Source organism: Homo sapiens, chromosome 4 (assembly GCF_000001405.40).
Source record: "Homo sapiens chromosome 4, GRCh38.p14 Primary Assembly".
NCBI classification, from domain to species: domain Eukaryota; kingdom Metazoa; phylum Chordata; class Mammalia; order Primates; family Hominidae; genus Homo; species Homo sapiens.
The window spans coordinates 4,576,511-4,602,500 of NC_000004.12; the positions used below are offsets into that span (position 1 = coordinate 4,576,511).

General features: G+C 43.8%; 1 protein-coding gene and 1 long non-coding RNA gene across 9 annotated transcripts in view, besides 1 other annotated feature; both read left to right on the plus strand.

Annotated features, from left to right (window-relative positions):
- Positions 1-25,990, plus strand: part of LOC124900165 (uncharacterized) — a 230,445-nt gene that overhangs the window by 34,380 nt on the left and 170,075 nt on the right. The window lies entirely within an intron of this gene.
- The window catches only part of STX18-AS1 (STX18 antisense RNA 1 (head to head)), a 168,808-nt gene that overhangs the window by 34,380 nt on the left and 108,438 nt on the right, over positions 1-25,990 (plus strand). The gene's annotated exons all lie outside the window — the stretch shown is intronic.
- Positions 5,837-6,337: an enhancer, noted in NCBI's record as "H3K4me1 hESC enhancer chr4:4584074-4584574 (GRCh37/hg19 assembly coordinates)". NCBI's record gives its function as "activates a minimal SCP1, AML or CMV promoter by ChIP-STARR-seq in naive H9 embryonic stem cells {active_cell/tissue: H9 hESC(naive)}" and the evidence as "EXISTENCE:reporter gene assay evidence [ECO:0000049][PMID:30033119]".

Below are 25,990 nucleotides of genomic sequence, written 5' to 3' on the forward strand. Positions count from 1 at the left end.
TATCTTGGTTATTGAGATTTTGGGCGCCCTCTTAAATTTTGGGTCCCAGGCGAGTGAGGCCCTGTCTGGCTTTTATGCCTCTTTACTGCCTGGGTCGAGGCTTTGGATCCTCACAACAAGCTCTCGCAGGCAGGGTTACTGACCCCTTGGATATTTCAGAAGGGGAAAAACTGAAGCTCAAAGATGTGAAGTGACCTGCCCAGGGATGCCCAGCAGGGACTGTGACACCAGCTAGTTAAGGTACCAAGTCAGTACCTTGCAGGCCCTTAGCTACCTTTGTTTTGTGGAGCCTGGCCGTCATCATAGCAAACTTCAAAACACATTACATATGGCCTTTTTATTCCATAATATCTGAAACTATATTTTAAAAATAATTTTGATTTTGCTTTTAGTTGGCTACAAGGCACTAATTTACAGTGGCTGTGATTTCACAGAAATGATTGGGTGTACTGGGAAATTCTTGCAAAGTGAGAAAATTAAATCCTTTTCACATGTAATGAAATTTTTAGGAATAATTAATTTAGCATTTTAATGATGTTGACACGGTGCTACCTTCTGTAGACATTTAATTAGACATTTATTAGTTTTGACTTTGTAGTTTGCTTTCCTCCTGGTGGAGCCAAAAATTACTTTTCCAGGTCTCCAGCATTTTTGTTGGAAATCCCTTCCAGCAGCATGGGGGTCCCAGGCAACTTTCTTAGGGTACCCAACCCCTAGGATGGTCCTGCCCACTTCAGTCCCCCACCTCCTCCCCATGCTAGGGGTGGGGCACCTCCCATCTTTCTAGTGTCCTGGCTTTCATGTGAGCAGGACCTTCTCAGGTCAGGCCCTGCTAAGCTGTAGATTCCCTGGAGTCCAGTGTGATTGTAACCATGTCTCAATCACCAGCCTAACTCTAATAGAAGGAGGGTACTTGTCAGTGCTGAATTGAATTGTGAGTTTCTCATGAGAGGTTGGGGTAGAAGAACATGAGATATTAAGTGTACCAGAAAAAGGATGGGTAGTTCTGGTGTGTTTCAGTCAGCTCTGGCTGCTATAACAAAATACCATAGCCATAGGGTGGCTCAGATAACATTGACTTCTCATAGGTCTGGAGGCTGAAAGTCCAAGAAGTAGGGGCCAGCTGATTCTTGTCTGGTAAGGGCTCCTGTCCTGGCTTGCGGATGGCTGCCTTCTTGCTGTGTTCTCACATAGTGGAGAGAGAGAGGGAACAAGCTCTCTGGTCTCTTCCTATAAAGGCACTAATCCAGTCATGAAGATCCCACCCTCATGACCTCATCTCAACTAAACTATCTCCAAAGGCCCCACCTCCAAATACCAACCTTGGGAGTTAAGGCTTCAACATATGAATATGGAGGGAACACAAACATTCTGTCCATAACATGGTGCTACTACTCATGTTGTGTGTCCCCAGGGAAGTTTCTGCACCTCTCTGTTCCTCAGTTTCCCCTTCTGGAAAATGAAGGTGGATCAGAAAATTTCCTATCTGAAGCTCCTTTCAGTGCCATCATTCTCTCATATGGGTTCATGGAAGAAGCAGTTTGGTTTCATGCAACTGAGCATTAGGGAAAGGTAAAGTTCTAATGGCCTACTTTCGCAAATGGGGTCAAATAGATATTTTCTCCAGTGATAGCCTGTGATTCTCTGTGATTTTTTTTTCTGGGTGCACTCTCCTCACTTTTCCTTGAATCCTTAGCAGACACTGCCATGGTCTTTCTGTGTGTCTCATGCCATTGTGACTTGTGTGACCACCAGGCATTGGGCTTGGCATGTGGCAGGTGCTCATTGCAGGAGGGAACATCTTTTCCAGATGAGGAAACTGAGGCACAGAGAGGTCTGAGTCAATGCAAAAGCAATCTAACTGCTATGATGTTTCTGCACAGCCTTCTCTGGAAGAGGAGAGATTTTATATATCTGCAAATTGCATGGACTTTCTTCTTACCTGTACCCAAACCACAGCTGCATGAGGTCAGTGAGGGACACTGTGTTCCCACTAGAACAGCTTTCAGGGCAGAAGACAGCTTTCCTCCTTACAAAGGAATCTCACATCCAGTCCTCCACAACCTATTTTACCCAAAGGCTTCTGACTAAAGACAGCTGTCTGGGGGCCCAGGAGCCAGGGTGCCAGTTCCAGCCCTGGCACAAGCATTCTTTGTGACTTGGAGCAGGTCCCTTACCCTCTTGGAGCCTTTGTTTCCTCCTCAGGGAACCAGAAGTCTGGACTAGATCAGAGCTTCTCAAATCATCCGAGGATCCTGTTAAAATGTGGAGCCTGATGAGGAGACCTGCTGGGGGCAGACATCCTGCACTTCTAACAAGCTCCCAGAGGATGCAGTTACTTTTGCCCATCTGTGGATTCACTGAGGAGCAAGCAGGACTTCTAAGGTCACCTCTTGCTCTGAAGGGACAGACCTTGAGCCCTGGCAGTGGGCACAAAGAGAGTGACAAAAACAAAAAACAAACAAACAACAACAACAACAAAAACCCAGTTGCCCAGATTTGGGTCAGCCAGGAGAGCACAGAATGTGAAATGATTCCAGAGGGATCCTTCCAACCACAGATACAAAAATCAACATCGTCATCGTCACCATCAGCAAACATTTGTGCAGTGCTTTCCCCTGTCCTGAGCAGCTGTCACATCCTTGAACCCAGTTGACCCCTACAGGCACCCTGGTGGGAGAGGAGGACACGGCTGAGGAATCCATTCAGTCCCGGTGGAGGAGCTGGGCAAGAGCACAATAGTCCCTGAAAGGATTGTTTCCATGCAGCCCTTTGATTTTCTTAGCATTTTTTTTTTTTTGGTGCCTGCTTTCTGACCCCTTCTTCCTTTGTCTCCTAATGCACCCCCACCCCGCTCCTAATTCTTCCCTCCCCCAACACACACACACACACACACACACACACACACACACAAAAACGTCAGGAGGAGAAAATCAGTGTATCCACCCACAGATTTCTCACTTTGATCCTTTCCTGTCTCACCGCCTGGAACCCAGCTTCAGAGACCAGGATTCTGGCTCGTTTTGGGGTGACCCAGTCACTTCCACTCTTCTCACTTGTAACTATGCAATTTTCCTTAAGGTGACATTTGTGAAGGATTTATGTTGTCTGGGCACTATGCTGAGTGACTTCATTCTCACTTCACCCTAGGGAGTGGGAACTCTTAACTATCTCCACTTCATTGGTGAGAAAACTGAGCCTTTAGGATGTTTGCCTGCCCAAGGTCACCTAGTTAGTAAATGATGGAGTCAGGACATTACCTGACCTTGGCTGACTGACATCAAAGATCATTGTAGATGAACGCACAGTTGTAAGAAGTAATACAGAGAGATTTGTGTAACTCTTATCCAGTTTTCTCCAAAGGGAGCATCTTGCAAAACTGTACTACAATATCATAACAAAGATATTGACACTGATAAAATCCACCAGCCTTATTCAGATTTCCTCAGTTTTACTTGTCCTCATGTGAGTGTATTTAGTTCTTTGCAATTTTAACATGTATGTAGGTCCATGTATGTAGCGCCACAGTCAAGATACACAACAGCTCTGTCAGCACAGGCTTCTGCAGCCTTTAATAATCACATCTACTTCTCCATGTCACCCAGCATCCCTCATTCTTGTAACACTAAACCTGTTCTCTATCTCTATAATTTCATTATTTCGAGAATGTTCTGTAAGTGGAAGTATATGCTTCTGGGATTGGCTTTTTGACTCAGTCTAATTCTCTTGAGAGTCACTGAGTTATGGCATGCATCAGTAGTGTTTTGTTTTTTTTTTTAATTTTAACTGAGTGGTGTTCCATGGCATAGAAGTACCACAGTTTCTTTAACCATTTACCCACTGAAGAATATCTGTGTCCAGTTTCTGGCCATTATGAGAAATGCTGCTGTGAACATTCACGTACAGGTGTTTGTGCAAACAAAAGTTTTTACTTTTCTGGGAAAAATGTCCAAGGGTATAAAGTCCTTGCTTTTACTCCCAACGTTGTGTGGCCCTCTAGGTTGGTTGCAAAGATCTTTTTTAAAAAGAGCAATGTAAGTTGAGATCTTACTATATATTTGATACTATGGTAAGTACTTTGCATGGATCAACTCATAAGTCCACAAAACAACCTTAGGCTTAAGTACTGGTGATATCCCCATTTTGCAGATGAGGAAACTGAGGCGTAGAGAAGCTACATAGTCTAAGGACACACAGAGTGTAAACAGTTGAGCCAGGATTTGAGCTCAGGCTGCCTGACTCCAGATCTGGCTATTTAACCAGCCTATGAATGAAGTTTCTTGTTTTGGCGAGGGGCAAACTTCTTCTGAAAGTAGAACTTGTATCCAGCAATTTGCATAACTCAAGTGCCCAGCACTAAGAACTTTTACAAAATGATGAATATCCCCTTGGAACCACCACTCAGATCAAGATATGAAGCCTGATAGATGCCCTGAAGTCCCCCTCCTATGTGCCTCCTGTCATTATCCCCTAAGAAAGGGAACCGCTATTTGTACTGCAGTTGCTGTATATTAGTTTTGCTCATTTTTGGATTTTATATAAATGAAACCATAGAGTAAGCTGTCTTTTATATCTGGCTTCCTTCATTCAACAATGTGCGTGCAAGACTCCTCCCTGTAGCCGTGTATAGTAGTCATGTGCTCTTTCTTCTTGCTGCCCTGTATTCCATTGTATGGATATGCCACAGCTTGTTTATTTCTTCTCCAGTTGAATGGCATGTGGTTTGCTTCCGGTTTTGGCTATCATGATTTATGCTGCTATACACACATAAATATAAATATTTAGAGTTTTCCTAGTTATGTTATTATTGATTTCTAGCTTAATTTCACTATGATCAGAGAGTATAACTGTATGATGATAAACCTTTCAAACTCATTGAGATTGGCTGGGCATGGTGGCTCTCGCCTGTAATCCCAGCACTTTGAGAGGCCCAGGCAGGAGGATCACTTGAGCCCAGGAGTTTGAGACCAGTTTGAGCAACATAGTGAGACTCCATTTCTACAAAAAATTTAAAAAAAAATAGCTGGGCATGGTGATGCACATCTATGGTCCTGAGGTTGCGGGGATAGCTTGAGCCTCAGAGATTGAGGCTGCTGTGAGCCACGGTTGTGCCACTGCACTCTAGCCTGGGCAACAGAGTGAGACCCTGTCTCAAAAAAAAAAAAAAAAAGGGAATATGTAAACTGCAGCTGTTGGTTGCATTGCCTTTTTTTTTTTTTTTTTTTTTTTGAGACAGGGTCTCATTCTGTTGCCCAGACTAGAGTGCAACGACATGATCTCGGCTCACTGCAACCTCTGTCTCCTGGGTTCAAGTGATTCTCCTGCCTTAGCCTCCCCAGTAGCTGGGATTACAGGCACGTGCCGCCATACCTGGCTAATTTTTATATTATTAGTAGAGACAGTGTTTCACCATGTTGGCCAGGCTCGTCTCAAACTCCTGACCTCAGGTGATCCACCTGCCTCAGCCTCCCAAAGAGCTGGGATTATAGGTGTGAGCCACCGTGCTCGGCCAGCTCTATTTATTTTTATTGGCTCCAGTTCATTAATCATGTTAAAATCTTTTATATCTTTACTGAATTTCTCTCTGCTTTTTCTTTCAATAACTGAGAGATGTATTTTAAAATCTCCACTAGGATAATGGATTTGACTGTTTCTCCTTTTGTCCCACTTTCTTTGAGGCTATGTTTTTTGCTGCATGCAAATTTTAAATTATTATCTTATTAAATGACTTTTTGATATTATAAAATATCTCTAGTAACAAATCTTGCCTTACAGAATGTATTGTCTTTATATGTTATATAACTACATATGTATGTGTTATAATTATGTAGTGTTGTTATTAAGTATATGTTAATGTAGTTATGTATCAGCTTTTCCTGTCCTTTTAATTTCAGTTTTTCAGACTCCTTATCTTTAAGGTAAATGTTTCATATAATCACAATGTAATTGGGTTTTACTATTTTAGATATCTGATAATTTTTGGATTGCTAAAAAAATTTTGAAAATTATTCCATTTTCCCCACCCTGCTAACTTATTCGTTATGCATTCTGTATTATTCCTGTACCTGTTCCCGTAGAGCAGCGGTCCCCAATCTTTTCCGCACCAGGGACCAGTTTAATGGAAGACAATTTTTTTCATGGATCGGGGGCAGGGGAATGGTTTTGGGATGAAACTGTTCCAGCTCAGGTCATCAGGCATTGTTAGATTCTCATAAAGAGCCTGCAACCTAGATCCCTGGAATGTGCAGCTCACGATAGGGTTGGCGCTCCTATGAGAATCTAATGCAGCTGCTGATCTGACAGGAGGCGGAGCTCAGGCGGCAATGCTCGCTCACCCCTCACTCACCTCCTGCTGTGCGGCCTGGTTCCTAACAGGCCACAGACTGCTACCTGTCCATGGCCCAGAGGTTGGGAACCCCTGCCCTAGAGAGTAGAATACTCATTGTTGGCTTGTTACATTCTGTTTAGTTTTGGATGTTACCATGGCAAGTGTTGTTAGTACAACACCATTAGTCCATTTCTCTCCTTCTGCTTTTTGTGCTACGTTATCATGTATTTAATTCTACATATATTTTAATTTCCTGAGAACATTGTTACTTTTGGTTTAAGTTGTCAGAATTTACTTATATTTACCCATATACCAATATATTTACCATTCCCAGCACTCCTCATTTATTTCTACCTTTTCGTGTTTCTATCTTGAATCATTTCCTTTAATACTTCTTTTAGTGTTGGTCTACTGGCAATGCATTTTCAAAGTTTTTTCTTGCCTGAAGTATCTTCATTTTACCTTTATTTTATTTTTAATTGGTGTGATGGTTAATATTAGGTGTCAACTTGATTGGATTGAGGGATGCCTAGATAGCTGGTAAAGTATTGTTTGTGGGCGTGTCTGTGAGGGCGTTGCCAGAGGAGATTGACATTCGAGTCAGCGGGCTGGGAGAGGCAGACCCACCCTCACTCTGGGTGGGCACCATCCCATCAGCTACCCAGACGGAGTTTTACTATGTTGGCCAGGCTGGTTTCGAATTCCTGACCTCAGGTTATCCACTTGCCTTGGCCTCCCAAAGTGCTGGGATTATAGGCATGAGCCACTGCGCCCAGCCCAGACTATATATTTTTATGTTTCATGCTAACAGTTTTCAGATCCTACCCACCTTTCTTCCCCTTTTACTCCACATCTGGGCTTTACCTTTGTGATCTAATCACCTCCCAAAGCCTTCACTTCCTAATACTATCACCTTGGGGCTTCGGTTTCAACACATGAATTTTGTGGGAGGACACAGACATTCAGAACCCAGCACCAAACAATGAATCACCACAATCTAGTCAAGTTGACACGTGCAATTCGCCACCAACTGCTCCATTTTTTCTCTCCTGTATTCTTGTGCCTCCAATTACATGTTGTTAAATATCTTCTACTTGGTCCCATATATATGTCTAATTTTCTGTATTTTTATCCTTTTTCTCTCTGCTTTAGTTTGAATATTTTTATATTTCTATTTTCTGGTTCACTTGTTCTCTCTTCTGATAGGTATACTGAGCTAACAATTAAAATTTTACTTTCTATTGTATATTTTTCAATTTTAGGATTTCCAATTGGCTATTTTTAAATAGATGCCAGTTTCTGGGGATTTTCTCCACCACTCTGCCTGTCTTTTGGCATTGTAATCATGGCTATTTTAAAGTTTATGTCTGGAAAGTTCAATACCTGGTTCTTCTGCTGTCTGTTTTTACTCTCCATTTTTCTCTTGATTTTCAGCATTTAATCATGTTGCCTGTCCTGCCTGGTAATTTTTTATTGCAGGCTGAAAATTGCATATGAAAAGTTATAGAGCTTATGGTTGGTGTTATATTCTTTCAGAAAGGGTTTAATTTTCTTCTTATTGGCACATAGAGTATGGCCAAATCATCTTTATCTAGTCACAGCTGGCCTGTTTCACATTTCCTCTTATTCTAACCCTTTTTAGGGTTTCGGTGGAAAGCTTGAGGTGTTTGTTGGGAGCCCTAATCCTTAACTTGCTGTGAACTCCAGTTTTTATTTCCCCAACCCCATGAGACTGCCATGTTCTCTGCTCATCTTTTAGCTTTAGAAGTTGCTTTATAGTGGGGTTCTCTGGGCCTCTTTCTGTGATTACACAGGATTTCTCTTGGGGAGAAATCATATACAGACTGTAGGACTCACTTCTCTGTGGTTCCCCGTCATCTGGTATCTAGTCCCTTATGTCATGGCCACTTTTTACTCCAAACTCTAATTTTTCCAGTCTGCAGCACAAAAGAGGGTCCTCATCAGAACCACACCATGCTGGCAACCTGATCTCAGCTTTCCATCTTCCAGACTTGTGAGAAATGAATTTCTGTTATCTATAAGCCAGCCAGTCTGTGATATTTTGTTATAGCAGCTTAAACTGATGAAGACCAAAACTGGTACCAAAAAGTGGGGGTGCCTCCTATAACAAATACCTAAAAATGTGGAAGCAGTTTTGGGTAATGGGTAGAAGCTGGAAGAGTTTTGAAGTGCCCACTAGGAGAGGTCAAAATTGTTAAGACTTTTGAAGTGCATACTAGGAAAGGTCAAAATTGTCACTAAAAACAAAAAACAAAAAACATAAAAACAGGATCTTGCTTTGTCACTCAGGCTGGAGAGCAGTGGTGCAATCATGGCTCACTGCAGCCTTGACTTCCTGGGCTCAAGTAATCCTACTGCCTCCGCCTCCCCAGTGGCTAGGGCTACTGATGTGTGCCATCACACCTGACTAATTTTTTTGATTTTTAGTAGATAGATGGTCTTGCTATGTTGCCCAGGCTGGTCTTCAACTCCTGAGCTCAACTATTCTCCTGCCTTGGCCTCTCAAAGTGCTGGAATTACAGCACTTTTGGCCACTGTGCCTGGCCAAAAGTACTTTTAAAGATGATTCAGAAAGGAAAGATGAGAGGTATTGAGAAAGCTTCTGTCTTCTTAGAGAATACATAAATAATCGTGTACAGAATGTTGGTGGAAATATGGCTAATAAAGGCCATTCTGATGAGGTGTCTGACAGGAATGAGGAACAAATTGTTAGACAATGGAAAAAAGGCAATCCTTGTTATAAAGTGGCAAAAAACCTTGGCTGAATTGTCTTTGCATTCTAGTATTTTTGTGGAAGATAAAACTCGTGAGCAGTGAAAGTGGATATTTAGCAGAGGAGATTTCTAAGCCAAGTGTTGAAGAAGTCACTGGCTTCCTTCTGACCACTTAAGGCAAAACATAAGAAGATGGAAATGGCTTGAAGATGGAATTATCGAGCAAAAGGAACTAGAACTTAAAGATGTGGAAAATTCTCAGCCTACTCATATTGCAAAAATGGAGAAAGTGTGTTTGGAAAATAACACTAAGGGTGTGGCTAACTGACCATTTGATATGGAGGTCAGTATAGGTGTGAACCATGGACTTAATCAACCAGCGGTTTCCCAGCAGGACAACTGTCAGTTTGAACTAAATAGGAAGGGGATGGTAAAGAATGAAGGAAAGTTGTTGGACTTTTTGGATTTTACAGGACAGGACTATAGAGCTATTCAGTTGTGAATGTGTGCTCTTGTTAAAGACAAGGGGAAGAATGAACCCAAGGGCAATGCAGAGGTCAGTAGGTTACCTTCTTAGTTTCAAAAGGAGGGACCATTGCCTTGCTTTCAACAGAAATGAGCTCCACCCAAAGCTGTTGGGGATACCACCTCCTGGCAGAGCCCTGGAGCTGCAAGTCCTGTCCAGCAGAGCTTTTTGGAGAAGACCACCTCCCAAGTGGGTCTGCAAGACTGTACCTCTGCCCCAGTGTGTCCAGTGGCCCTAGAGGGGAGAGCATCAAGCCACAGAGGATTATCTTCAGCCTGAAGACCTGGTGAAAGTTGTCTTGTGAGGTTTGGGACTCCCTTGGGATCTGTTAACCCTTCTTTCTTTTCTATTTCTCCGTGTCAGAATGGGAATGTCTATCTATGTCTGTCTCACCACTGTATTTTGAAAACATGTTTGGTTTCACATGTTTGCAGCTGTGAATTTTGCCTCAGAATGAATTGTACTCTGAGTCTCACCTTATCTGATTTAGATGATACTTAGATAAGAGTTTGGAGTTGATGATGCTAGAATGAGTTAAAACTTTGAGGGCTTTGGGGATGGAATGAATATATTTTACATGTGAGAAGGATATGATCTTTGCGGGGTTTGGAACAGAATGCAGTGGACTAATGTTCGTGTTACCTCCAAAATTTCTATATTGAAATCTTAATCCCAATATGATAGTATTTGGAAATCAGGCCTTTGGGAAGTGATTAGGTCATGAGGGTAGAGCCCTGATAAATGAGATTGATGCTTTTATAAGAAGAGGCCATTTCATATGGAACCAAAATAGATCCTGTATAGCCAAGACAATCTTAAGCAAAAAGAACAAAGCTGGAGGCCTCATGCTATCTGACTTCAAACTATACTACAAAGCTACAGTATCCAAAGCAGCATGGTATTGGTACCAAAACAGACATATAGGCCAATGGAACAGAACAGAGGCCTCAAAAGGAACATCACACATCTACAACCATCTGTTCTTTGACAAGTCTGACAAAAACAAGCAATGGAGAAAGGACCTCCTATTTAATACATGGTACTGGGAAAACTGGCTAGCCATATGCAGAAAATTGAAACTGGACCCCTTCCTTAAACCTTCTACAAAAATTAACTCAAGATGGATTAACGATTTAAATGTAAAACCCAAAACCATAAAAACCCTAGAAGAAAACCTAGGCAATCATAGGGATGGGCAAAGACTTCGTGAGGAAAACGCCAAAAGCAATTGCAACAAAAGCCAGAATTGATAAATGGGATCTAATTAATCTAAAGAGCTTTTGCACAACAAAAGAAACTAGCATCAGAGTGAACAGGCAACCTACAGAATGGGAGAAAATGTTTGCAATCTACCCATCTGACAAATGTCTAATATCCAGAATTTACAAGAAACTTAAACAAATTTACAAGAAAAAACAAACAACCCCATCAAAAAGTGGGCAAAGGATATGAACAGACACTTCTCAAAAGAAGACATTTATGAGCCAGCAAACACATGAAAAGAAGTTCAACATCACTGATAGTTAGAGAACTGCAAACTAAAACGACAGTGAGATACCATCTCATGCCAGTTGGAATGGCAATTATTAAAAAGTCAGGAAACAATAGATGCTGGTGAGGCTGTTGGTGGGAATGTAAATTAGTTCAACCATTGTGGAAGACAGTGTGGCAATTCCTCAGGATATAGAACCAGAAATACCATTTGACCTAGCAATCCCATTACTGGGTATATATGCCAAAAGGAATATAAATCATTCTACTATAAAGACACATGCACATGTATGTTTATTGCAGCACTATTTACAATAGCAGACATAGAACCAACCCAAATGCCCATCAATTGATAGACTGGATAAAGAAAATGTGGTACATATACACCATGGAATACTATGCAGCCATAAAAAGGAATGAGATCATGTCCTTTGCAGGGACATGGATGGAGCTGGAAGCCATCATCCTCAGCAAACTAACACAGGAACAGAAAACCAAACACCGCATGTTCTCACTTATAAGTAGGAGTTGAACAATAAGAACACATGGACACAGGGAGGGGAACAACACACACCAGGGCCAGTTGGGGAGTGGGGGGCATTAGGACAAATAGCTAATGTATGTGGGGCTTAAAACCTAGATGATGAGTCGATAGATGCAACAAAACACCATGGCACACATATACCTATGTAACAAAACTACACATTCTGCACTTGTATCCCAGAACTTAAAGTAAAATTAAAAAAAAAAAAAAAAAAAAAAAAAAAAAAAAGGACTGTGATCCAGCTAGCTTTCTTTCCACTATGTGAGGCTACTAGTAGAAGTTACTATGCAACCCAAAAGAAGGCCCTTACCATAACCTGACCATGCTGGCACCCTGATCTCAGACTTTTAGCCTCCAGAACTATAAAAAAGAAATGTCTGTTGTTTATAAGCCAGCCTTTTTTATAACAGCCAGAATGGACTAAGATGATTCTTCTTATCCCAGTAAGATGCTGCCTCATGCTCTAGCTCACTGCTTTCAGTTAGGTCTCTGTGACCCCACATTGTGAAATATACTGCAAGGGATGAAACCCACAGGGGATGCAGCACTCACTTTAATGTTTTTCTCTGGGGTCTTGATCCCTCAAGTCTGGCCTGCCTGGGATATTTTTTGATGCCTTCAAACAGACCTTTTAAAAAATTTTCAGCTTTTACAGTGGTTCTTGGTGACAAGTTAGGTCTGATAACAGCAACCTATCTTCAGGCAGATGCAAAAGTTTGAATTAAGTTTTGCATAGTACTTGGCATGTAAGAAGTTTTTTATTCAGTGTGGGTTCTCTTCCCTGATGAAAAAAGGTTAATGGTTTGTCTGGACAGGAGAGGAAGAACACCCTAGCATTCTTTGATTTTTTTCTAGACATGCAGTTGTTCTCATTGCCCTGAAAGGAAGCTCACATTAGAGAATAATTGGTGTAGAGTCGTTCGTTGCATGCATCATGCGTAGGACCAGGGTGGGGAAACATTAAGACTAGTAGGCACTACAGAGACCACAGGGGGTTCAAGGACCCTCTCATGATGTTCTTTAGTGTGTGCCTCTGAAATTTCAAGCAGAGATTGGGCCTACCTGCACATGTGTTTTTATCAGATTCTCAAAGGATCCTTGAGACAATGCTAAGATCCAGCGATCTAATCTGAGGAACTGAGGCAGCATGAGAGAAGGTGTATTCACCTGCCTTGCTGTGACAACACACAGCCTTTCCCATGTGCACATGGAGAGAGGGAGTTCTTTGGTGTCTCTTCCTCTTCTTCTTCTTTTTTTTTTTTTCTTGGCGATGGAGTTTTGCTCTTGTCGCCCAGGCTGGAGTGCAATGGTGCAATCTTGGCTCACTGCAACCTCTGCCTCCTGGGTTCAAGCGATTCTCCTGCCTCAGCCTCCCAAGTAACTGGGATTACAGGCACCCGCCACTATGCCTGGCTAATTTTTGTATTATTAGTAGAGACAGGGTTTCACCCTGTTGGCCAGGCTGGTCTTGAACTCCTGACCTCAGGTGATCCACCCACCTCGGCCTCCCAAAGTGAAGGGATTACAGGCATGAGCCACTGTGCCCAGCCTCTTCCTCTTCTTCTTTTTTTTTTTTTTTTTTTGAGACAGTGTTTCACTCTTGTTGCCCAGGCTGGAGTGCAATGGCATGATCTCAGCTCACTGCAACCTCCGCCTACAAGGTTCAAGCAATTCTTCTGCCTCAGCCTCCCAAGTAGCTGGGATTACAGGCTCCCACCACCATACCCAGCTAATTTTTGTATTTTTAGTGGAGACGGGATTTCGTCATGTTGGCCAGGCTCGAACTCCTGACCTCAGGTGATCTGCCAGCCTTGGCCTCCCAAAGTGCTGGGATTACAGGCGTGAGCCTCCATGCCCGGCTTTCTTCCTCTTCTTATAAGGACACCAGTCCCTATTGGATTAGGGCCCCACCCTTATAACCTCATTTAACCTTAATCACCTTCTTAAAGGCCCTATCTCCAAACAAAGTCACCTATTGAGGTTCTGAAGGCTGGGGCTTCAACACATGAAATTTGTGGTAGACAATTTAACCCATAACAGAAGGACTAACCAAGATTATGGTTAGTGACAGCACTGAGGCTGAAGACGGACAGCCCCTAGTGCCTCCTTGACCCCCAAGAAGGAGGCCCTCAGCGGAAGGATGTGTTTTCTCAAGTCCACAGCTTCTGTGCCTACATAGTAGGTGCTCAATAAATATCTTATGGATCCCAGGGGTTCTAACTGCAATCTCCTCTCAGTGCAATATATACATTTTCCCTTCCCTAAATGTAATGACTGGGGCCCAGAGTCAGCAAATGATTCACCTGCGATTACACAGTGACTTGGTTGCAGAGGGAGGGCTAGAACCCAGGTCTCCTGCCTCCAAACCCAGGGCTCTCTCCACCACCCCCAGGTGGGCCTCCTGCCCTCATTGCTAAAATCAGAGAAGAGGGAGCAAATCTGTGAGTCTGGGAGTCAGCACCGACTCATTTCCTCTTACAGGATATTTGTATTTAAATCTGTGTGCCAGGCCAACGAAGAGAAATCGAAGCCATGTGTGTGCAGTGGGCTCCCAGCAGCCTGGAGGGCTGGGGAGGTCATGGACCTGAGGCCGTGAGACAGGGTCACACTGGGGAGGGCTGATTCATTTGGCCTCCTGACTTTCCTATCCTCCCACCCGACTTCATTTTGTGATGCTGCGATTGTGTGTGTGTGTGTGCGTGCATGCACACAAGCACACACATGCAGAAAATTTGAAAGAATTGGATGAGGTTTCTGCAACACTAAGCTAAACTAACTAGTGTCTGCAAACTAACATGTGAGTTTTCCAGCCTCAAATCCCAAATGAAAGAAATGCCAAGTTAGCTCGTGTCTTCATATCTGAGTTATAATTTGGAATAAAAATGAAAGTGAAATATTCTTAAGATGTTGAGAAAAAAGTTTTTCCATTCTGTTTCCAGAATAGAGTTTAAAACAATGCAGCCACAGAGGCGGACAGCTTTCCGTGGAAAAGAGTAGATCTTTCATGGATGGTTGAAGTTGACAGGCAGGCATCCTGTCTTTCAGGGCTGGGGCTGGGAATGGCGTTTCTGACTTCGCCATTGATGGGCTAGCTGGTGCTTGGCATGTGACTGTCATCTGGAACTGTGATTTTCTCATCAGCTTTGGTTTGCTCATATGGAGGGAGTAGCATGTGTTAGGAGTCCCATCCCTGCCAACTGTTTCATACACATTGCAGCATTTCATCCTCACACCCACCCTGTCATGTGGGTATTACCATCCCATCTTATAGGAGGGAAAGTAGGTACATGAAGGCACTCAGCTTTGAAGGATGAAGCTGGAAGACACCACCAACTCTTCTGCCTCTGTGGTGATCTTTGCAGTTTTTTGAGCAAGGATAACTGCATGATCTTCGGCAAGACCTTTAACATCTCTGTACTTTGGTGTCCGTGTCTGTAAAGGAGACTGTTGGAGACCAGAATATGCCACCCCAAAACATGAAGGACTGTTGAGCCAAAGACAACTAAGAAGTGGATGCAGGAAGGCTCTCTGCCCTCCCTCTATTTGCCTAAAAGCAGGACATAGATTTACAAAGACAAGAGGTATTCCACCTCCACTCTGCAGGGAGAACAAAGGGTAACCATGGAAGACAATGTTAGAGCCCTATTGTCTGGAGATGGCACCAGGTCCAGCTTCGTTAATCCACCTTGATCTGCCTGTTATTGCCTTCCCACAAGTGGCTACCCCTAGAGACTCAAAGTCCTTTTTCCCTTTGTCTTGTCACTGTCTAAAAATGTGCTGGGTTTTTTTGTTTTTGTTTTTGTTTTTTTTGTTGCTGCTGTTGTTGTTGAAGATGCTATATAAGCTATAAGCAGGAATCCAAAGCCACCTTGAGAACTACTCGTTCCCTGGTTGTCTGCCATATATATGTGAAATATACTTGATAATAAACTTCGGTTTGTTTTTCTCTTCTTGTTAGTCTGTCTTTTGTTACAGGGGTCTGCTCCAACTAAGAACTTATGAGGATTGAAGAATAAATTATTTTTCTTCTTCTACAGGATCATGATAGTATCCACTTTAGGGCGTTGCTATGGGGATTAAATAAATAAAGCCCTGGAGCTTTATTAAATCAAAAAGGTGGCACCTGGCACATAGTAAGCACTGAATTCAGTATTAGCTGCCACCGCTAGTCCTATCATCCTTCAAATCTGCACTGTGAAGGGTGGAGGCAAGTCCCTTTGGCTATAAGCAACAAACACCAACTCCGGCTAACAGAAGCAAAAAGGCAAGCTCTAGGGAGACTGTCCTAGCTCTTAGATTCAGGGAAAGGCTGACAAACCAGGCTTCAGAAGGACAGGACCTGCATGCCTGGGAGGATATGGGGAAGTTGAGCAACTCAAAGCCCATGCTGGTGTCAGTCAGCTCCAGCTTTCCATTCTGTGTCACACCTCTTTGTTCACGACTGAAGTCCAGGAGAGGGAGAAAGAGGCTGTGTAAGTTTCCCATTGCTGCTGTAACAAAATGACCACACATCAGGGACTTCAAACAACACAAATACTTTCTCTCTTACGGTTCTGGAGGTCAGAAGTCTGAAATGAGTTTCCTTGGACCAAAATCAAAGTGTCAGCAGGCCCGTGTTCCTTCTGGAGGCTCGAGGGGAGAATCTATTCCTTGCCTTTTCCAGCTTCTAGTCTCTGCCTTGGCTCTTGGCTCATTTCTCCATTTCCAAAGTGAGCAGTGTAGCAGCTTCTCTCCTATCTGACTTCTGCCTCCATCCTTACATCTTCCTGTTAAGAGACTTGTGATTACATTTGGTCTTTGTAGTTAAGCCAGAACAATCCCTCAGCTCAAGATCCTTAGTATAATCACATCTGCAAAATCCCCCTTGCCACGGAATTTCATGTATTTGCAGGTTCCTGGGACTGGGACAGGGACATGTTTGGGAGCCACCATTCTGCTGACTGCAGTGGCCACCCAAGTCCTTTAATTTACATACCTACCGCTGGCAACGGCCTATGTCAGAACCACTGGGAGGGCTTGTTGAAATGCGGATTGCTGGGCCCCACTCCCAGATTTTCTAATTCAGTGGGTTTAGGGAAGGACCTGAGAATTTGCATTTCTTATGGATTTCAAGGTGATACTGATGCTGCTGTTCCTAGAATCACATTTTGAGACCCCCTGGGCTAAGAGAAGGTAGAATTCCTTGACTTGGTTTCCCACAGAGCCCACATATTTATGGGGAGAGCAATTTCCTAAAAGATCCATGGGAAGCAGAAGCCAGGAGAGAGGGAAGGGTTGCATGTGGCAGGGACTCCCAGGTCCAGCTTGTTAGGGGCTTCTGCTCTGGAAAAATGTGTGATGCACCAAGGAAGGTCTAAGAGGAAGGTGCTCAGAATGATAGAGGAGGGTAGAGAGAGGCTGACCGGGATCTTGGTGGTCACTGAGACCCACGGGGTGGTGGGTCCCGAGTCCTGGCTGGGTGCTCCATGGCCTGGCCACCAGTGCTCTGCTTGGAATTCTGGCTCAGTGGGACCCTGTACCGTGTGGTCCCAGAGATGCTGTTATTGGGACAATTTTGCCTGGATCTTGGAGCCAGAAAACAAGCCAGAGGGAGAATCTGCTTTTAATTCTCAGAAACGAGGAGGTTGGATCGAATGACCTGTGGGACCAGCTGACCTGCCTAGCCTGTGATCCTACACGCTCGAGTCCCAAAGCTAATGATGTCATAGCCCTGGGCTGCGTCCGATCTGTGTAGTTAGGTTGATGGGATTAATCAGCTCATGTTAACAAGCTGATGATCATGAAATAAAGATGACCATTTCAATAGGATACTCGGGGCTGAGGGACTGAAGTGAAATCATTTGGACTTCTACAGAGGTCATGGTTGAATTATCACAAAACTTCCTTTACTCAAAGCAGATGCTTATTAAGATTAATTTAGTGTGAAAAGTGAACCAGACTGAGTACAAAGGACATTGTCTCCTCAATTATGTAATAAGACACCTCCTCATTGTCCTGTACTCACTGAAGATGATTGTGCATTTCCTCAGGGACATTTCAGCGCGGTGAGCTGAGCCACTGCGCAATCCCTCTTTTGGGGATGTTCAATGAAATCTCAGTGTTCACACAAAGACAAAGTGGGCAGAGACAAAAGGGAACATCAACTGGGAAGGGGAAAAGGGGGCTGAAGACAGAACCCATCTTTCTGCTAAAACCACACATTCAGCAATTCCAGAGATGTCCCTTGTCTGAGGATGAAAAAAAGAACTGGGGAATGACTTTGCCTTCTTATAATGATGGTTTGTGCCAGTGACGGCTCATGGCAGTGGTCCCAGTATCTTGGGTCCAGAGAGGCTGAACAGGACCACTGGCTAGGACCACAGCTATTGGACCTACGTAGGCTCTAATCGTCTTTCTGGGCCTCTGCGGGGTTGGTCACCTTCTCACTTTTTGTTTTTTTTTAACGTCAGTAAGTTCTATTCCTCTTGTTTGTCTGTGTTACAAAAAACTCCATTTTAAAACGTTTTTCTCTTTGCTCCCTAGACTTCCCCTGCCCAGGCTCTCCTCCCACTTTTTGGCTTCCTCTCCTAGTCCCTTCCCTGGCTCCTCTTCCAATGTTGATTGCATGAGTATTGCTGTTCCCAGGGCTCCAGCCAGTCTCAGCTCTCTATTTCTACTCATGGAAACACTCTCTTCCTCAAGTTAGTTCATCCACCCACATGGCTTCTTCTGTCATTTTAAGCCTAGAGATACCTGGGAGGCAGTACAGTACCTCCCAGTAGTGGTATTTTTATTTAATGAAATAAAACCAAGAATCTCCCAGGTCAGTACTGAGAGGAGAGCTTCTTGGTGAAATGGGGCAGCTGGCCACATGGCCCTTGTCTGAGTTTTATTTTCTTTGGAATTCTTACTTTCTAACTCCCCACTCCTCTGGGGCATGTCAGGAACAACCTGCTTTCTTGCAAATGTCTGACTTACTAAGTAGAAGCAAATTCCTTTCCCTTAGTTTTCCTAAAGCATGGTTGAGATGGAAAGAAGCTTTCTTCATATGTTCTAAGCACAAAGGAAAACACAAAGAGGAAAACACAATGAGATCAGGAAAGGTAAACAACTTGGCTTACAAGGTATAAACTAACAGAGCTTGTATGAATTGTCTGTTGCTGTGTAATATAATTTATAACATAAAGTTTAATGTATAACATAATCACATATTATACTAATCATTTCCATGGGTCAGGAATTCAGGAAGGCCTTAGATAGGTGCTTCTCACTTGAGATTTTGCATGCAGTTGCACTCATATGCCACTTGGGGCTGCAGTTTCATCTGAAGGCTTGACTGTGGCTGGAGGCTACGTTTCCAAGGTGGTTCACTCACATGGCCAGCAAGTTCTTGCTGGCTATTGGCTGGAGGCCTCATCTCCTCTGCCCATGGGACTCTCCACAGGACTGCTTGAGAGTCCTCATAGCATGATGACTGACTTTCCTTGGAGGGAGCCATCATTGCAGGAGCAGCAATGCTTTTCATCTAACCTCAGAAGTCACACATTTCCATTTTCTTAATATCTGATTGGTCACAAAGGGGCAGCCCTGATTCAATATGGCAGATGACTACACAGGGCATGAATATTGGGAGGCAGAGATCACTGGGCACCATCTTAGAATTTGGCTATGACGTGAGCCAACTTTTTCTTCAGGATTTGCAGGACTGTCCCACTCCATGAGGATCCCTGGGAAGAGAAGCTTTTTAGACCATTACTTTTTGATTTCACCCATAGCCACAAGTTAAGCACTAACTTGCTGAGAGCATTTAGGGCCACCCCTTCTCCAGCTTTATCTTTGGACATCAGAGTGGATGATTAATCAGTCTTACTTCTCAACTTATGGTATACTTTCATCCTTTGTCTATATGAGGCTCCTTTTTTGCTTTATTCATTTATTCTTTTTTTTTTAATCTCCAGTCTATACTTGTACTCTCTCTCTTGCACCCCCTCCCTGAGAACTGCCACAGGCAATCGCTTTGAAATGTTTGATGGCTGTCCTTGCGTTTTTATGCATGCTTATAAGTATGTAGCACTGTTTTGTCTGTTCATGGATTTGTCTGTTCATGGAGTTTTCATGAATATTGAACTAAAAGATTTATTCCGTATCTCATTTTGTTCATTATCTGTGCACTCCAGGAAGGATGTCTGTTACATTTCTGTCATCCATCTTCCTAGTGATGGATGGATACCCAGATTACCTCCAAACCCTCTGTTATAAGTGATACTTCAAAGAATCCCTTGTCCCTTCAGGTTCTGAGTGAGTATTTCTCTGGAGTTTCCATCCAGGTGAGGGTCCCTGGGAAGGCATGCTCATACTCCATGTGACTACAAAACAGCAGGCAGCTCTCCAGGGCACTCTCTTCTCCCAGACTCCAGTCCAAAGAAAAAGGATGTCTGCTTATCTCCCTTCCAGCCTTCCTGCTCAGGTCCAGGGTTTTGATTGAGAAATGCAGCTCCTCCAGGAAGCCAGATGAACTGTGGCCCACACAGGGATGACAGTTCACCCTTACAGGTGCATTTGCAGGATATACCCTCACATGGCACCCGACATCTCCAGAAAATGACTGCCATTGCCGTGCTCTGAGAAGGCATTTCCTCCTGCTCCCAACTGCATGTTTCAATCCCTTACCTCTCTGCTGGAGGTCTGACCTGTTTATCCCATTCCCTGCAACACATCCCCCTTTGAATGTTCCAAAGGCCCCTCAGCTGCAACTTGTTCATACGAAGACTCTGCCTTCATGGCAATTAGTTGACCCAATGATTGCACAACATATTAGGTATACACTGAAAAGAAATGAAAACAGATGTCTACACAAAAACTTGTACATCAATATTCATGGTGACATTATTCTTTTTTATTTTTATTTTTTAAAAATGGAGTCTTGCTCTGTCACCCAGGCTGGAGTGCAATGATATGATCTCGGCTCACTGCAACCTCAGCCTCCCAGGTTCAAGCCATTCTCCTGCCTCAGCCTCCTGAGTAGCCAGAATTACAGGCGTCCACCTGGCTAATTTTTGTATCTTTAGTAGAGATGGAGTTTCACCATGTTGGCCAGATTGGTCTCAAACTCCTGACCTCAAGTGATCCACTTGTCTCAGCCTCCCAAAGTGCTGGGATCACTGGAGTAAGCCACAGTGCCTGGCCTCATAGTGGCATTACTCTTAATGACAAAAAAAAAAAAAAAAAAAAGCTGGAAACAACCTACATGTCCATCAACTGATGAATGGGTAATCAAAATGTGGTCTATCCACAAAATGGAATATTATTCAGCCGTAAAGAAGAATGACTTACTGATACATGTTACAGCATGGACAGACTATGAAAGCATCATGCTAAGTGAAAGAAGTCAATCCCAATGACTCCATTTTCATTTCATTTATATGAAATGTCCAGAACAGACAAATCTATAGAGGCAGAAAGTAGATTAGTGGTTGCCTGGGGCAGAGGGGGATGGGAGACCATGGGTAATAGCTAAAAAATACAGGGTTTCTTTTTAGGTGTGATAAAATGTCCTAAAATTGATTGTGGTGATGGTTGCACAACTCTATGAATATACTAAAAACCCTTGACTTGTAGACTTTAAATAGGTGAGTTGTATGGTATATTTAGTATATTTTATAATATACTACTGTTGCCAGAAATATGGTGTAGTTGGCTGGGCACAGTGGCTCATGCTTGTAATCCCAGCACTTTGGGAGGCAGGTGGATCACCTGAAGTCAGGAGATGGAGACCAGCCTGGCCAACATGGTGAAACCCCGTCTCTAATAAAAATACACAAATTAGCTTGGCATGGCGGTGTGCACCTGTAATTCCAGCTACTCATGAGGCTGAGGCAGGAAAATCGCTTGAACCAGTGAGGCAGAGGTTGCAGTGAGCTGAGATCATGCCACTGCACTTTATCCTGGGCGACAAGAGTGAAACTCTTTCTCAAAAAAAAAAAAAAAAAAGAGAAATATGATGTAGTTGTGATTCAAGCACTGGTTTGGATAATTTAACACAGTGATTCCACTATTAGATATATACTGAAAAGAAATGAAAACAGATGTTCACACAAAAACTTGTATATGAATGTCCATAGTAGCATTATTCTTTTTTTTTTCTCACTTCATGGGACCCATGTTCTGTTCACCCATTGGGGTGCTGCTCAAGTTGAAAGCAACTTTGAAAACTGCCTTCCACATGTATAAAACCCTGGCATAAATCCTTGTGCCGTAAGGAACTTTAGCAAGCACGTTGTCTGTTGCCTACTCATTTTGCAGAGGAAGAAATAAAAACTCAGAAATGTCAGGGGACCTGCTGATCCCATGCAGCAGGTTTGCAACAGAGCTGGGACTAGACCCACTCTATGCCTGACAATTTCTGCTGCTTAAACATTTAAGTAGAAGGGTCTGGTCCTCATCCTTCCCTCCTTGCAAAGTGAGACCCGAACTGTAGCCCTGGAGGCCTGAAGGAATGAGGCAGGGGTAAAACTGTGCTCTGGCCAAGAAACTTGTTCGTTACAATGGAGAAGCAAACCATGTCTATCGCCTTCTCCTGAGCAGGCACCTCTGGGCCCCTGACCCCGTTTGAAACCACAGTCTGAAACACGCTTCGTCTTTGCCAGGACAGACAAAAACTCACATTAAAGAAGCAGTGGGCTGCTGCCCACGCTGAGGTGAGGAGTGGGCAGGAGGCTGGGATATGCCTCCACTCCCAAGGGGCAGGGGCTGGCCAAGGCCAAGGGCAGGTGCAGATGGTGAGCGGGGAGGTGAGCCGAGGGTCACTCCAAGGAGAGTGGGGACTTTTGTCCCTTTTTGTCAGTGGGAGGCTGGGCTGGGAGAGGAGGCAAGGAACAGCACACTGTAGAAATGGAGAGTGAGGAATGGGAGAGGCCCAGAGCTCAGTATGCAAGCTGTGTACAGCGGAGGTTGCCGGACTGTCTCTGATGGGCTGCTAGTGGGGTGGTGCTGGGGAAGGTTGACTCGCTAAAAGAAAGGCTGCTGCAGTCACATGTTATAGGGTACATCTGTGAGAATTAGGGAAAGGAAATTGCTCCGTGTCAATGCAGTCTTACCCAGGGCACATGGCTTGGGGATGATGTATGAAGTGGACTTTAGTTCCCTGGGTTTAGTTCCCTTGTTGTGCAGTGCACGGCTTGGACAAATACATGGGTGGCCTTGACTAAAAGGCTTTGGTTCAACCAGGTGCTTTTCTCATCGCAGCTTAACTCCTGGCTTCCTAACACTCCCCATGCGAGGCAGCCCCAATTCACCTCTAACCCTGGGAGGTGCCAGGAAACAGAGTTGGAGCCGCATCTACTGCTTGACTTCTCAATGCAAACTTAACTATTTTAAAGTGTACAGTTCAGTGGCATTCAATAAATTCACAATGTCGTGCAGCCACCACCTCTGTCTAGTTCCAATACGTTTTGTTATTGCCTCAAAGGAAACCCCGTACCCACGAGGCAGTCACTCCCCATTCCTCCTCCTCCAGCACCTGGAAACTACTAATTTGTTTTCTTTTCCTATAAGTTTGCCTATTCCGAACATTTTGTATAAACAGAATCAGACCAGATGTGACCTGTTGCATCTTGTTTCTCCCGCTTAGCATAGTGGTGGAAGATTCACCCATGGTGTAGCATGCATCAGTACTTGACTCCTTTTTATGGCCTTAGGACAGGCCAGGGCATATGTATCCCACATTTTACCACATTTTGTTTATCCATTTATCTGTTGATGGACCCCTGTGCTGTTCCCATCCTTTGGCTGTTGTGAATAGTGCTGCTATAAATATGCATTTACAAGTTTTTGTTTGAACACCTATTTTCAGTCCTTTGGGGATACAGAGCCAGGAGTGGAACTGCTGAGTTACACAGTAATTCAACATTTAACTTTTTGGAAAACTGCCAAACTGTTTTCCACGACATCTGCACCATTTTACGTTCCTGTCAACAATGTGCAAAGGTTTCCATTTCTCCACCTGTGTCAACACTTGTTATTTTCCATTTTAAAACATTATAGCCACCCTTGTTAGAGTGAAGTAGAATCTCATTGTGGTTTTTGATTTGCATTTCCCTGATGACAAGTGACATTATACATATTTTCATGTGCTCATTGGCCACTTGTGTGTCTTCTTCAAAGAAATGTCTATTCAAGTCCTTTGCCCATTTTTAAATTGGTTGTTTGTCTTTTTTTGTTGAGTTGTAAGTGCTCTTTATATATTCTGGAGGCTGACTGACTTTTATTCTTCTAAGTCAAAGGTGCTTTAGCCCAAGTCCTGTCACTCAAAAAGAAGGCTGGGTGCAGTGGCTCTTGCCTGTAATCCCAGCACTTTGATAGGCTGAGTCAGGAGGATGACTTGAGCCCAGGAGTTTGAGACCATCCTGGGCAACAGGGTGAGACCTTATCTCTATAAAAAATGTTTAAAAAATTAGCCAGGGACGGTGGCATACTCCTGTAGTCCCAGCTACTCCAGAGATTGAGGCATGAGGATTGCTTGAGCTTGGAAGGTCGAAGCTGTGGTGAGCTGTTGATTGCACCACTGCACTCTAGCCTGCGTGACACAACCACACTGTAGCCTGTCTCAAAGAAAGAAAGAAAGAAAAGAAAGAAAGAGAGAGAGAAAGAAAAAAAGAAAAAGAAAGAAAGAAAGAAAAAGAGAGAGAAATTCTAAACATAAATACTATCCCTCCCTTGTTTACTCTCGAAAATGTCAACAAGCTGCTGGGCAATTCTGTGCCTCAGTTTCCTCATCTGTGCAATGAGGTTAATAATAGTACCTGTTTCCTAGGGCTGCTTTAAGGATCGGATGGGATCATGTGTGTAAGGTACTTAGAATGGTGCCAGTTGTACAATGCAAGGTCGCCATAAATGTTAGTTATTGTTATTGTTATCATTATAATAAACTAGGACAATCATGATCATGGACAGCTTCACTTTAGGTCCTAAGGCCGGGCAGAGGTGAGGGAAATGACCCCATTTGTGAGGTCCTATTATACTCTAATCACTTCCGTTATATTTTTTAGATTTCTCCTCCCCACATCCCTTTGAGGTAGATAAAATGGTGTTCATTTAAGGAAACTAGGCTCAGAGAGGTTGGGTGACCTGCCCAAGATCCACAGCTCATTTGTAAGAACAGGATGGACATGGATCAGCTGCCCAGGTCTCTCCCCAGCCCCTTTCCATGGTGGCCTGCATCTGGCAGATCAAGGTAGGGGTGTCCCGGCTCTGCCAGCATGGCCCAAAGCAGGACAATGCTGAAGAGCTGTCCCAGCTCCAGAAGCAGCCCCAGGATCATCCAAGGCCATGGCTGGACCTACACTGCAGTTCAGCTTCTCTCTCTGTCCAATCCTGATTCCATCTTCTGTCTCCGAAATAAGCATCCTGCTCATGCATATGTAGGTGTGGGTTGGACTGACAGCTTTCTCGGGACCGAGAACTTTCAGCACCAAAACTGGGAATGTCCTGGGTCTACTGGGAAGAGTTGGTTCCCTGTGCATGCTGAACTCCACCAGAGTCTGCCTCCTGGGGACCCCTTCTGTGACTGCAGCTCACAGCGAGCTCAGTCTGGTGCTCAAGATCAGGCTGTGTCCGCCACGCACCCCAGAGAAGTTGTAGAAGGAAAAGAGAAGCTCAGGGCTGCTGCTGCTGTCCACTTTGCTACCTTATGCTGTCCAGCTTGGGGCAAGACTCGGTTCTTTCCCAGATTGAGGTGAAAGTCATCAAGGCACTAGAAGGTGAACGCGCGAGGTCCAGGGCTGGGCTGCTGCTGCCGTGTTCTTAGCTCCTGGCACGTGGTAGGGGCTGCAAATTCGCTCAAGAGGAGGGCTGCTCCCCTGGCCCCGACAGAAGGTCGGGGAGCAGGAGGCCCAGGCAGTACAGCCTGTCACCTGTGCTTCATAGCCAAACCCCCAGGCTTTTCTGGAGATTTGAAAAGCAGCTGAAATGGTTTTCTGAATATCCCTCGTCTGTCCGCTTAGGCTCCAATTGCCCAGGCCGACTTCTCTGTTAGAAGCCAGCTGATCAGTTTGCTACAAAGCTGTATAAACAAGATAAACGAAGCTCACTGTTCCCAGATTGTCTGTAAGGTTCCCCTCATCTCTTTTCTCTCTTTTAGACCCTGGGTTTTTTTCTCTTTGTTGTTTGGGGTTTTGTGGGGGTTTTGGGTTATTTTCTGCCTTTGTTTCCTGACAATAGTGTATGGCTATCTCCCTTATGTGTGAGTGTATTGTCAGGATTCTTCAATAGGATATATACGACATATAACATAAGACATATAACATGTCGTCTACATCCTAGTATATGTTATATATCCCATAAAGCTATTATATATTATATATATCCTATATATATAATATATAACATTA